This window comes from Homo sapiens, chromosome 1 (assembly GCF_000001405.40).
Source record: "Homo sapiens chromosome 1, GRCh38.p14 Primary Assembly".
NCBI classification, from domain to species: domain Eukaryota; kingdom Metazoa; phylum Chordata; class Mammalia; order Primates; family Hominidae; genus Homo; species Homo sapiens.
Window position 1 is genome coordinate 44041129 of NC_000001.11, and position 13332 is coordinate 44054460.

At 46.0% G+C, this 13332-nt stretch overlaps 1 protein-coding gene and 1 long non-coding RNA gene across 4 annotated transcripts in view, besides 1 other annotated feature; one reads left to right on the forward strand and one right to left on the reverse strand.

Moving 5' to 3' along the window:
* Positions 934–1107: a silencer, noted in NCBI's record as "fragment chr1:44507734-44507907 (GRCh37/hg19 assembly coordinates)". NCBI's record gives its function as "represses an EF-1alpha promoter that drives an FKBP-Casp9 reporter gene in an ReSE screen in HepG2 liver carcinoma cells {active_cell/tissue: HepG2}" and the evidence as "EXISTENCE:reporter gene assay evidence [ECO:0000049][PMID:32094911]".
* Positions 2799–13332, forward strand: part of KLF17 (KLF transcription factor 17) — a 91214-nt gene continuing 80680 nt past the window's right edge. Inside the window, exons 1-4 of one of the 3 annotated variants that reach the window (XM_011540700.2) lie at positions 2799–2883; positions 4919–4994; positions 7230–7358; positions 9822–10366. The gene's annotated coding sequence lies outside the window, so the exon portion shown is untranslated. Of the gene's footprint in view, positions 2884–4918; positions 4995–7219; positions 7359–9821; positions 10404–13332 lie in introns of those variants that run through there. The other 2 variants (XM_047445936.1, XM_047445938.1) reach the window with 2 other exon arrangements.
* Positions 3675–13332, reverse strand: part of LOC124904169 (uncharacterized) — a 30287-nt gene continuing 20629 nt past the window's right edge. The window contains exon 3 of the long non-coding RNA XR_007066056.1: positions 3675–4460. This is a non-coding gene — a long non-coding RNA (uncharacterized LOC124904169). The remainder of the gene's footprint in view (positions 4461–13332) is intronic.

A 13332-nucleotide genomic window follows, 5' to 3' on the forward strand; every position in this document is an offset into this window, starting at 1 on the left:
AAAAGGCTATTAAAATACTTCTCTCTTTCCCAACTACATACTTTATGAAGCTCAGTTTTCATCACATATTTTAACCAAAGCAACCCATTGCAACAGATTGAATGCAGAAGCAGCTGAGAATCTAGCTGTCTTCTACAAGCCAGACAGTAAAGAGATTTGCAAAAGTGTAAAACGATGCCACTGTTCTCACTAACATTTTTGTTTTAGAAAATATACAGCTCTCTGGCTGGGCGTAGTGTCTCACGCCTGTAATCCCAGCACTTTGGGAGGTAGAGACGGGTGGATCACCTGAGATCAGGAGTTCTAGACCAGCCTGGCCAACATGGTGAAACCCCGTCTCTACTAAAAATGCAAAAATTAGCCAGGCATGGTGGCGGGCACCTGTCATCCCAGCTACTCAGGAGGCTGAGACAGGAGAATCACTTGAACCCAGGAGGTGGAAGTTGCAGTGAGCCGAGATCATGCCATTGCACTCCAGCCTGGGTGACAAGAGCAAAACTGGGTCTCAAAAAAAAGAAAATATACAGCTGTCTTTCATAGATATAAGTATATTTTCAGTGAAAATATAACAAAAGTATTGTTATTTTGAATTAATATATGTTTTAACTTTCAGTTTTAATTTTGAATACATTGAAGATCATGAGATAAAACCACTTAAAAACTCTTTAGGTTCTTAATTTTTTAATTAAGAACCCAATTTTTTAAATTAAGAACCTCAATTTTTTTGAGACTCTGTCTCAAAAAAAAAAAAAAAACCTGAAATTTTTTGCCCTAAACCTTTGTTCATATGAATGTACTATTAAAGAATAAGTTTATTTTACCGCTACATTCTAGTGCATATGAGCTACTGATTTTTAGCATGTTCCCAACGTGGTTGGCAGCATCTCTCTCCCTCGTGGAAGGTGCGTGTTGTCACCTTCTGCCCACACGGCCCCTGGTTTTCTCCCTCGATGGGGGAGAAAAATGGATCCCTTCGTAGTTACTGCCTCCAGGACGTGTGACACCAGCTGGCCCGCCATGGGTTTGAAGCAATTTCTGGTGATCTTGCTTAATTCTCTCTCTTCCATTTCCAAGCACACTATTTATTTATTTATTTATTTAGAGATGGTCTCGCTCTGTCACCCAGGCTGGAGTGCAGTGGTGTGATCACAGCTCACTGCTGCCTCGACCACCCAGACTCAAGTGATCCTCCCACCTCAGCCTCCTGAGTAGCACGTGCCACCATGACTGGCAGGTGCTAAAAACGAACTGTTTTTTGTTTTATTTTGGAGAGACAGGGGTCTCACTGTGTTGCCCAGGCTGGTCTCGAACTCCTAGACTCAAGTGATCCACCCACCTTGGCCTCCCAAAGTACTGGGATTATAGGTGTGAGCCACTGTGCCTGGTCCTCTAAGAACATTTGTAAAAATGCTATTATTTTTGCACACTTTCTGTGTTAAGAACTTTACATTCATTTTCTCATTTAATCCTCACAATGACCCTGTGAGCTAGATACTGTTATTATTCCCATTTTATAGATAAGAAAACCCAACCTCAGAGAGATTAGGGGAAACCTGTGGGAATGTAACCGATTTTAAATCCTCTTTAATGTATAGATAAAAATTAAAGGTGAGCTTAAATCCCTTTAAATTTATACATTTAAAAAATTGTTCATCTAAAGTTTAGTACTTTAACAATTGTTCTTAGTAACAAATTACCACTAAAGGGTTAGTAACAAATTACCACACCAGCACAGATCCCCCACCCTTAAAACTGAGCCCCAGCTGAGCCCTCACATTGGGCCCTTACCCTTGAGTCCCCTGAGGCCCCGTGCTGTGTTCAGGGCATGTGTGCCCCAAACGTGAACCCTTACACTGGTGTCTTGCCTGATTTTTTTCCAGAACCTTAATACTGAGTCTTCATACCCATTTTCCTCACTGGAACCTCCCTGAGCCCTTACTTGAGGCAACATGTGTGAGCTCTTCACCTGTCTACATGTCTGACCTGCTGGTCAGCCCTGACACCAGAACCCCACGCTTGAGTCACTTAACTAGCAGCAGAGTCAGACTCTGAGACCATCCCTTTAGAGGGAGCAGCAGAGGAAATGGGAGCTGGAGGGGAAGGGAGTGGTGGAGATGGGGGTGTGAACTGGGAGAAGCAGGCATGGGGGAAAACTCTGGGCTGTCAGCCCCTAGCTATGGTCGGGAATGTTCCCAGGCAGCACTGACCTTTCACCCCCACCCGCCTCGGTGCGATGATTGGCTGTCTCTGCCATCCCCGCTTCCGGGACCAGAAGCCACCTCTGGAGCAACTGGGGCATCCCCATGGCAACCATGCCAGGCCAGGTTGGGAGAGGTGTGGGGCTCCTTCACAGCCTTTTATTGCCCCAAAACAGGTTGACACTCTCGTCCTGGTAACCCTCAGGGCCCTGCAGATCACAGTGTCCAGAGAGGAGGGGCTGTTGCTCCTAGCAGGTCTCTTGATTCAGGAAAAAGCGTTTCTCTGGTCTCAGCCAGATCCTTCCTGGGCTGATCTGTTGGGAAACCCAAGCTCTCTGTCCTTGGGCCCCTAGCCCCTACCAACACCCTCCTAGCGCATTCTAGCAGGAGAGCGAGAGGGAGTGGAGACAGTCTGAACTCTTCCCTCTGCCCACCTGGGTGTGGGCTTGGTGAGATACTGAGGCTGGGGTGTCCACCTGAGTCCGTGGAGGGAGGAGCGACTACGGTGCGGTGGGGGCGAGGCCACTCAGGGCTTTGTGACCTAGACAGAGGATTTATGTGGGTGATTAGCTGTCACGTTGGGTCTAAGCTCCTTACCCTCAGAACCTAGCTTTCCTGCCTGCCCCCAGGGCTAATCCAGAGGTGGGGGAGGGGCTAAAGACACTGGGCTCTGCCAGGGGCCTTGGTAGGTGCCAGTGACCCATTCTGTGTAACCAGCTGTGGCCTGTTCTCTGTGTATTTCTGCTTTTGTGGGTTTCTCTGGCTCTTCCTGCCTTTGAATATGTGCACCTGGGTTTCCTTCTATCCCTCTCTCCATGTATGCCTTCTGTGCTGTGAACAGCTCTGTGACCCTGACTCTGGGAAGCTGTGGTTGTTGGCAGAAGGCAGGGACACCACTGGGTAATGGGTCACACAAGTCTCAATGACCGGACTGTGGTTGACAGAAAGTCTTGGGGACACAGATTTGTAGCTGGCGTGGGGTTTTCGATAACACAGGGTCCAGGTGGCAATGTATTGGGGGTGACTCAGGGTTTGAGGGACATGGGGTTATTTGTAGTTGACACACAGATTAGGTGAGCCTGAACTGTGGCAAATGCAGAGTCATCTGGGTGACTCAGTGACAGCAATTCGAAAAGAACCGGAAGGCAGCAGAACAGTAGCAGTGGCTGTCCACCCACCCTGGAATGTGTGGCTGTGTCTGGAGGCATTTTTACTTGTAACACCTGAAGACAGGGGTGCCAACAGCATCTAGGGGGGCAGAGGTCAGGGATGCTGTTCACTATCCCGCAATGCACTGGAAACTCCCCAAGAAGAAAGAACCATCTGGCCTAATGAACTGTGGACTCTGAAGCCAACTACCTAGGGTGAAATCTCAGCTCTTGCACTCTGCAGCCATGGGCAAATTTCCTCATCTCTAACATGGGGTACCTGGGTAATACCCATCTAAGGTTGTTGGGAATACTGAGCCGATACTTGTAAAGTGTTCAAAATGCCAGTGCTGTTTATTGGTTCAGAGCTGGAGAAAACAAGAGTAGACCCAGATGGAGGGACACATCCAGGTTTTCCTTTCTCATTTCGGCTTCTACTTCAGACAGGCTTTTTCCATTGCCAAAGGCCACTTCAGTCTGATGTCATGTCAGTTTAATGGTATCAGAGGAAAAGAGAGCAGTGTTTCCCTGTTTCGGTGGAGCACTGCACTTATAAATCCTGAAGAATGGCTCTGCCTTGGCTGAGCTTGGCCATGATCACCCGTAGTTTCTCGAGGTGCCATGATTGAGATTGGAGCCACCTGCCTGGAGGAAGGACAGGCTGTTTTCCACAGGGGCGGGATGTTCTTACCAGAAGGACAGAAGGCAGTTGAGTGACCAGGATGACAGATGCTGCCATGCAAGGGTTGTGGGTGCACCTGGGTTGGCACCGTGTCTGATCCGGGAGGATTACAGGTGACCTCGTGCTGCGGGACTGCCCTGGGAGCTAATCTACCAATCTCTCAGAAACGTTCAACTTTCTTGACACTTCCTCCTCCGCCTGAAACCCTCTTCCCTGGCACTTTGGACAGCACACTCTGCTGATTCTCCTCTTCCTCCTCTGGCAGCACCTTCTGTCTCCTTTGCTGACTTCTCTTCTGCCAAGCCTGGAAATGTTGGAGTGTTCAAAACTCAATTCCAGACTCTCTTCTCCTTTTTCTTTGAACCTTCTTAGGTGGCTCATCATGACATCATGTTTGGGGCTTGACATCACCATGATGGGACTATTTACACCCTGGAATTTGGAAACGTTGCAAATCAATGTCTTGTTTTTCTTGAAGAGGCAATAGTTAAACAGTTGCCAGCACCCACTGCCCAACACCATTGTCACAAAAACTTTGTTTTATCCAGGCCTGGTCTTACCCACAACACTATTTCACTCAAATGCTTTCTCAACATACTTTCACACACAACCCAGTGTTATCCCCAAACTATTTGACCCCAGTTTAGCCCTGAGCCCATTTTCATCCAGAATGTGTCCCTCCCACAGTCATTTGCATCCAATGTTCTCTAGACACCACCATCAGCAACACAGAATCACACATATCACACATAACTAAGCTGCACATAACTCAATGTTGTCACTAGGTAGTGTGTCAGATCTGTGCCCTCCAGACCCTCCTAACACAATCATTGTCACCCAGTCTTGGTGTATGTAGACGTTTTCTTAATATTTCTTAATATTCTATTTAGGATGAGCTTATCATGGAACATAAGAAAAATAAAACAGATGTCAGCCTGTGTATGAAGAATTCATCCACAAGATTTGGTAAAGGATAATAATAATAATAATAATAATAATAATAATAATAGCTATCATACATTCATTGGGTACTTACTAGTACCAGGCCAGTTCTAAGCACTTTTTTTTTTTTTTTGAGACAGAGTCTCATTATTCTGTCCCCCAGGCTGGAGTGTTGTGGGGGCAATCACGGCTCACTGCAGCCTTGACCTCCTGGACTCAAGTGATTCTCCTGCCTCAGCCTTGCAAGTAGCTGGGACTACAGGTGCATGCCACTACGCCTGGCTAATTTTTTAAAATTTTATTTGTAGAGACGGGGTCTGCTGGAGTTGCCTAGGCTAGTCGTGAACTCCTGGGCTCAAGCAGTCCTCTTCCTTGGCCTCCCAAAGTACTGCAATTACAGGCATGGTCTGCCACGCCCAACCTAAGCACTACACACACACTCACACACACACACACACACACACACACACTCATCTAATCTTCACAACAATCCTATGAAGTAGATACTATATGTTCTTCATTTTAACAGCTCAGGAAATGGATGTGCAGAGGTTAAGTAACTGGTTCAAGTCCATGTGGCTAGTAAATAGCAAATCTAGAATCTGATCTGAGGCAGTCTGGCTTAAAAATATGCATTCTTAGCTGGGTACAGTGGCTCACGCCTGTAATCCCAGCACATTGGGAGGCCGAGAGGCAGCTGCATCACTTGAGGTCAGGAGTTCAAGACCAGCCTGGGCAATATGGTGAAACCTGGTCTCTACTAAAAATACAAAAATTAGCTAGGTGTGATGGTGTGCACCTGTAATCCCAGCTACTCAGGAGGCTGAGGCAGGAGAATCGCTTGAACCAGGGAGGCGGAGGCTGCAGTGAGCCGAGCGAGATCGTGCCACTGCACTCCAGCCTAGACAACAGAGCAAGACTCAGTCTCAAAAAAAAAAAAAAAAAAAAAAGCATTCTCTGTACTAGGCTACAGACATGTCCTTGAAAGTATTTATGCTTACTTTGTTGTTGTTGCCTCCTGTGATTAGAAAATATTATGTTTAGATATGCTTGTTTTTATTTTAAAATGTACAAGAAGAAGTAATGTTGTATTAGTCAGTAAGCTTTGGTCATAGAAATGTTTTCTTTGCAAAGGGTTGCCCATTTTTGTTTTCCTAAGATGGAGCAATTGTACTCATAGCATTGAGCCACCCATTCCTCTGAGTGGGCTAATGAGAGGTTGGTCATGAATTTTGATCTGATGACTTTGAGGAGAGAGAACCGTAAGCACTGGTCCTGGGGTAAAGGGTGGTGTGGTAGGGAGGGAGGAGGAGGACAGATGGTGGGAACCAGAAGAACCAGGTCCAGACAGGCTCCAGCCTGGTCATGAGATGGGGCTGCCATGGTTGATAAATGCTTGAGGTTTGGTTGATGATCTGAGGCCCAGTTCAACTCTTGGCTTCCCCTGGAGCATTGCTGGGGACCCGGCACAGTGACATCAACATCACTAGTAGCCCATCTGCCATCAGTCACATCCATCTTGAGGGAAAGAATGCTTAGATCGTGAGAGCATCCTGCCCTGGGACCAAGGATTTGAGAATGAGGGCACGAGTCGGGGTGCTACTTCCTTCCTTGTTCATATCACCTATTTCCTTCTTAGGTGCCTGGTACAAGGAATAATTAGATAGAAACACATGGGTAGCTTAGATAGGGAAGAGGAAGAATCCCTTAGGAGTCTACAGACGCCATACTGCAACACATTGGCATTAGAAGTAGGATTGTAGTGTCCTCTAGTGGACACTTTGTGAATTTACATAGTATTATTTACTGGATGTGGCCAATAAAGGTGGGCTGAATCCAGAAAAGGGAAGATTGGCATCCAGAGTGTTTGGAGAGTGGGCCCATAAGAGAACATTGTGTGTGTATGTGTGTGTGTGTGTGTGTGTGTGTGTGTGTGTGTGTGCACGTGCACGCACGTATGTGTTGGGGGCTGTGTAGCTTCTCCTAACTTCACCATGCAGAAGTCAAGGAAACGGTTACAGAGGCAAAATGTGGGAGTAGCTAATGGCAATGGCCCAGAGAGATGAAAAAATGTGAGAAAACCAAAGCTTGGAGGTAGGAACTTTCCGATTCTTTTGGAGTAGACTAAGGTGACTTAAGTAGGAAAAGAACGCATAGCCAGTAACTCTCCCAACAGAACTGGATTCGTGCCTGGGGTGATTCAGGATGTCCAGTTAAGCTGGGAAATACTGATTCCACTGATCCCCTTCATTCACTCAGAGCAGACCGAAGACTGTGAGACTTCCTCCCCACAGTGAGCTAAAAGGACGCTTTTGTCAGAGTGGGGAAATAAAAGGGCTTTATGGGAAGGAAGATAAGAACAGATGAGTCAGAGGTTTCTGCTTAATGGTGAGTATTTTTGTCTTAAAATGTGTGTTTTTCTTCTTTGGAGAAGGTACTGCACTCTTTTTGTGTTTTGAGCTGGAGACTTTCTTTGATATGACTGGGTTTTAAGCTAGTTGGTTACAAATGAATATTTGGGGCTTTAGAAAATATTCTTTATGTTTGGATGGGATCTCCTAAGTACATAAATAAATTGTTTTATTATTAACCTAAGTTTCTCTTGGTGAAATTTTCTGTGTGTTTGACTGGCCACAGTGTAATTTGCTTAATTTTTGAACACAGTAAGATTTATCTACAAATTAGAGGTGTTGCAAAGTTGATTTAGTTTGATAATGATTAGTTTTCTTTGTTTTTATGTGTGTACACAGTGCATTGGGTTTAATAAGCTTTTTATTGGAGTAAATCATTCGTGCAGAAAAATGCATTAATCATAAGCATATAGCTTAATGCGTCACCACAACTTGAACACATTTGTGTAAACATAACTGTCTTAGTCTGCTGGGGCTGCTATAGCAAAATGCCACAGACTGGGTGGCTTAAACAACAGACATTTATTTCTCACAATTCTGGAGCCTGGGAAGTCCAAGATCAAGGTGCTGGCGGGGTTGGGTTCTGGTGAGGGCTCTCTTCCTGGCTTGTAGATGACTGCCTTCTCACTGTGTCTTCACAGTGTAGAGAGAGCATGAGCAAGCTCTCTGGTCTCTTCTTATAAGGGCACTAATCCCATCATGAGGACCCTACCCTCATCACCGCATCTAAACCTAATTTCTTCCCAACGACCCCGTCTCCTAATCCCACCACATTTGGGATTAGGGACTCAGTGCATGAATTTGGGGGGCACACAACATTTAGTTCATAATAATAACCATCCAGTAAAGATGCCTCTCTTGTGCTACCTCCCAATCCCAGCCCTCTGCCCTCCCCAAGGTGACCACTAGCTTAACTTCTAACCACATAGAGTTTTGCCTGTTTTTGAATTTCATATAGTTAGAATTATACAGTATATATTCTTTTCTTTTTGAGAGAAGGTCTCACTCTGTCACCCAGGCTGGAGTGCAGTAGCACGATCTCAGTTCACTGCAACCTCTGCTTCCCAGGGTCAAGCAATCCTCTGAGCTCAGCCTCCTGAATAGCTGGGACTACAGGCATGTGCCACCATGCCTGGCTAATTTTTGTATTGTTTGTAGGGATGGGGTTTCACCAGGTGGTCCAGGCTGGTCTTTAACTCCTGGACTCAGAAAATCCACCCACCTTGGCCTCCCAAAGGGTTGGAATTACCAGCGTGAGCCGCCGTACCCGGCCTATGTATTGTTTTCAATCTATAAGGTTTATCTGTGCTGTTATGTATAGTAGCATGTTCATTTCCATTGTGGTATACTATTCCATTGCATGAATATATAATAATTTATCCATTTTAGCTTTTCAGTTTCAAATAATGTGTATCTTTTGGAGTAGACTAAGGTGACTTAAGTAGGAAAAGAATGCATAGCCAGTAACTCTCCCAACAGAATTGGATTCATGCCTGGGGTGATTCAGGATGTCCGGTTAAGTTGAGAAATACTGTACATCTTGGAGTACAGTTACTGTCTCCTGGCATATGCATATCTTCACCTTTAGTAGATAGCATCGCATGGTTTTATAAAGTGGTTTTACCAATTTATGCTGCCACCAGCAATGTGTGAGTTCAGCAATGATAAAAGTTATTTACACCACAGAAATTGGCAACTTTTACAAATCAGAGTTTCTTTCTTAACCAGTTGTAAAATAATTACCAGCACACCACTGCCAATGAGGTAGGAGGCAGGACTTGGACTCCGGACCAGATTGAGACTAGCTGAAAGGGGAAGAGGCAAAAGCACCTCTCCAAAAGACATGCTGACCAGTGCCATGTCAGTTTACTATTGCCATGGCAACAACTGGATACCACCCCTTTCTATGGCAGTGACCCAACAACTGGGAAGTTACCACCCTTGTTCTAGAAATTTTTGCATAATCCACCCCTAATTTGCATGTACTTAAAAGTGGGCATAAACATGACTGCCGAGCTGCCCTGAGCTGCTACTCTCTACACACTGCCTATGGGGTAGCCCTGCTGTGCAGGAGCAGTCACAGATCCCTAACACTACACTGCCTCCTCAATAAAGCTGTTTTCTTGGCCGGCCACAGTGGCTCACACCTATAATCCCACCACTTTGGGAAGCCAAGGTGGGCAGATCACTTGAGGTCAGGAGTTTGAGACCAGCCTGGCTAATATGGTGAAACTCTGTCTCTACTAAAAATACAAAAATTAGCCAGGCGTGGTGGTGTGCACCTGTAATCCCAGCTACTCAGCAGGCTGAGGCATGAGGATTGCTTGAACCTGGGAGGCGGAGGTTGCAGTGAGCTGAGATCGCACCATTACACCCCAGCCTGGGCGACAGAGCGAGACTCCGTCTTAAAAAAAAAAATCCTGTTTTCTTCTACCACCAGCTCACTCTTCAATTCTTTCCCGAGCAAAACCAAGAATCTTCTTGGGCTAAGCCCCAATTTGGGGTTCACCTGCCTTGCAGCAACATGGCACCAAACATGCGGCAGAAGAGAGAAAACGACAGCATGAGAGACGGAGAAAGAAATGGCCAGTTGGCAAGGTGGTAATGAGAGACAGCAGTTGGCAAGACAGTGAGAGACAGCAAGAGATGGCAAGTGACAGTTATTGTTAAGATGACAAATGGAGAGATGGCAAGAAATAGAGAAGCAGTCAGTGATGGAGGCTGCAAGAGTTGTAACACTAACCAAAGGCTCTTTTTAGAATCATCGTTTTCCCTGGCAGGTGGTACAGCCAAGCAGACAGGCAAGTAAGTGGCCATACTGCTACTGCCTCATGTAGGATCCGGCAGGCTGGTGGGTTATCAGTCCTCACGTGGGACCCTCCCACCATGGCAGCTGAGCACATCCAAGCTGGGGGATCCTGAAGAGACCTTCACCTGGGTGCCACGTGGAAGATTGGCCAGCACCATTTTGACTCCTGTGGATGGGTGAGTGTTTTGCCCACCCCCACCCCAATAACATCAGGTAAGCTCAGGAATTAAAGCCTTTGGCTAAGAGGTCAGTTAAAAGTCCCTCATCATTTGGATACCCTTAAACACTTCCTTGTCCTTGTCACCCTTTTCCCTGATTGTTTCCCCTCTGACTCCATTGTATTGCTCCACCAGTCGTTTTATTTTCAGTCCTAAGATGTATGTTTTGTTGGCAGTCTTTGTTTTCATTTTGATTTTCTGTTGACTAAATTTGGGGAATGATTTAAGGCAGGACACTTGGCCATGCAAGGCCTCCTGTTGTGTTGTTCTGTGACCTCCAACTTGGCCTGAGGTTTGCTGTTGGCCAACCCCCTGGTGCCCTGGGGTTTTCAGCATTTGGTGAGGGGACCCTTGTTGGCTGAAACTCAGGTACTCCAGGTTTTTCAGCATTGGTATTGCTGAAAATGCTCTGGGGTTTTCGGCATTGACATTCCCTCTTTCATTGAGTGGATAGAGGCTTTCCCCACAGGAACAGAAAAAGGCATTAGAAGTGTCCAAATTCTTACTTAAAGAGATCATTGCAAGGTTTGGGTTACCTAGAAGTCTGCTCAGTGATAACAGAACCTCCTTCACAGCTAAAGTGACCCAGCAGGCTTCCTGAGCCTTAGGCATTACCTGTCATCTTCACTCTTGGAGACCTCAATCCTCAGGTAAGGTAGAAAAAGCTATTTCTCCCCTAGGGGAATCTTGGTCTTGCCTTTTTCTGCTCTGAAGTTAGAAGTTATTATTTTCCTAATAGCCAGTTGCAGACCTCTTCCTGTGTGCTGTCTTACAACTGCATAACTGTCTTGCTTAAGCCCTCTTGGTTGAAGGGGACTGGGAGTTCCCAGGCCCCTGATGGACAGCCACCAACAGCAGTAGAAAAGTGGCCACCTGAACGTTGTTTTTGGTGTCTCTCCTACTGGGTAGGTTCTCTGGCAGTGAGGGCCCCTGAGGTCTCCCCTTGGGCAATGCTATTTACCCCTGCCCTTCTTCCCTTCCACTGTCACCATTTGTTTAGTCTCTCTCTGCCTAACCCTCACTCTCTGTGGAATTTAGGCCAACATTCTGTTTCCCATTTGCAGCTTATAATCCACTTTTATAACACCTTGCTGTCTATATTTACACCTTCTTTGTACAAAGTGGGAATTTAAAAGGGAAAAGTAACTAGGCATTTGCTAAGCTTAGGTCACTAAAACCCCCATAGAGAGCCTTACTAGACATGGGGCAGCAGAGAGCATCCTGAAGGACTTGACGTGAGGGTGTCTTTTAGGCAATTGGAGTAAATTCAAATTAGACAAATTGAAAAAGAAAAAATTTATTTTCTGTTGCAACAATGTTTAGGTTCTATATAAATTGGCAAGCCAACAGATGTGGCCTAGGCAGGATTTTTTTTTTTTTTTTTGAGACAGTCTTACTCTGTTGCACAGGCTGGAGTGCAGCGGCAAGATCTCGACTTGCCACAACCTCTGCCTCCTGGTTCAAGCGATTCTCCTGCCTCAGCCTCCCAAGTAGCTGGGATTACAGGCGCAGGCTACCATGACCAACTAATTTTTTGTATTTTTAGTAGAGATGGGGTTTCACCATGTTGGCCAGGCTGGTCTCGAACTCCTAACCTCAAGTGATCTGCCTGCCTTGGCCTCTCAAAGTGCTAGGATTACAGATGTGAGCCACTGCACCCGGCCTCATGATTCTTTATGTTATAATGATATTGTACAATTAGAATTTGTTTTGTAAAAAGGAAGGAAAATGGGAAGAAGTCCCTTATGTGCAGGCTTTTCTGGCCATCTACCAGGATCTTAAGGGCTAGCTGTAGAACATGTCTGGCTTATGATACTCCCAGCCACCCAGAAGCACATCAGGTATTGTAGATGACCTTCTCTTAGCTGTTCCCCCATGAGGCCTGTGTCCCCACTTTGAAGCCTCTCCAGTCCCCTAGTTCTGGGGGGGGAGGACACCACTTCTCTAGTGCAGAATTCCACCTCAAAGTCAGCAGGCATCCCTCCCCTTTATCCAACAGGTCCTGGCCCATATCCCCTACTGCCGGAGGAAGTAAACCCAACCAGTACTACCAGGAGTTGGGCCCCATATCAGCTGCCAAAATTAGACCTGTGTCCATTGTGAGAGGTAGCTGACAGGCATGGAGGAACAACCACAAGATATGTGCCTTTTTCATGTTTGATTTGGCTTTATGCAAGGAAAAATTTGGTTGTGTTTTAGAGGATCCTGGGAAGTTTACAGAGGAGTTTGTTAAGTTGAGCGTATTCTTTGATTTAACTTGGCATGACATGCAAATATTACTATCCACTTGTTGTACTGTAGAGGAAAAACAAAGAATTCTAGATACTGTCCGTGAACATGCAGATGGAGTAGCCACCCAACCCAGGCCATGCCATATCGTGTGGGAGGAGATGCAATTCCAGATCTAGGCTCTCAATTGGATTACTAGACAGGTTCTCAAGATCTTAAATGCAGAAATCACAGGCTAATTTGTTTAACATGAAAAAGTGTGTGCTTAAGCCAGTCAGTTATGACAAGGTGAGAGAAATAACTCAGGACAAAGATGAAAACCCTGCTCTATTTCAGGGCCGTTTTCTTGGGGCACTCAGGAAATATGCTAATGCAGACCCAGACTCCCCAGAAGGGTGGGTTCTCCTGGGTGTGCATTTTATCACTCAATCTGCCCCTGACATCAGGAGGAAGCTACAAAAGGTAGCAATGGGGCCCCCATGAGCCAACCCTTAGACGTTGCTTTTAGGGTTTACAACAACAGGGACAAGGCAGAGGAAGAGGCAAAAGCCAAAAAGTTGGCCAAAAAATCACAATTGTTAGTGGCTGCTTTAGGCCCTCTGCTGCTTCAGGGTTACCCACCCCAGGAAAATATGGGAAGATCAGTGTCTGGGATGCTTAGATGAGAGTCCCACCACTTGCTGGACTCTAGGCAA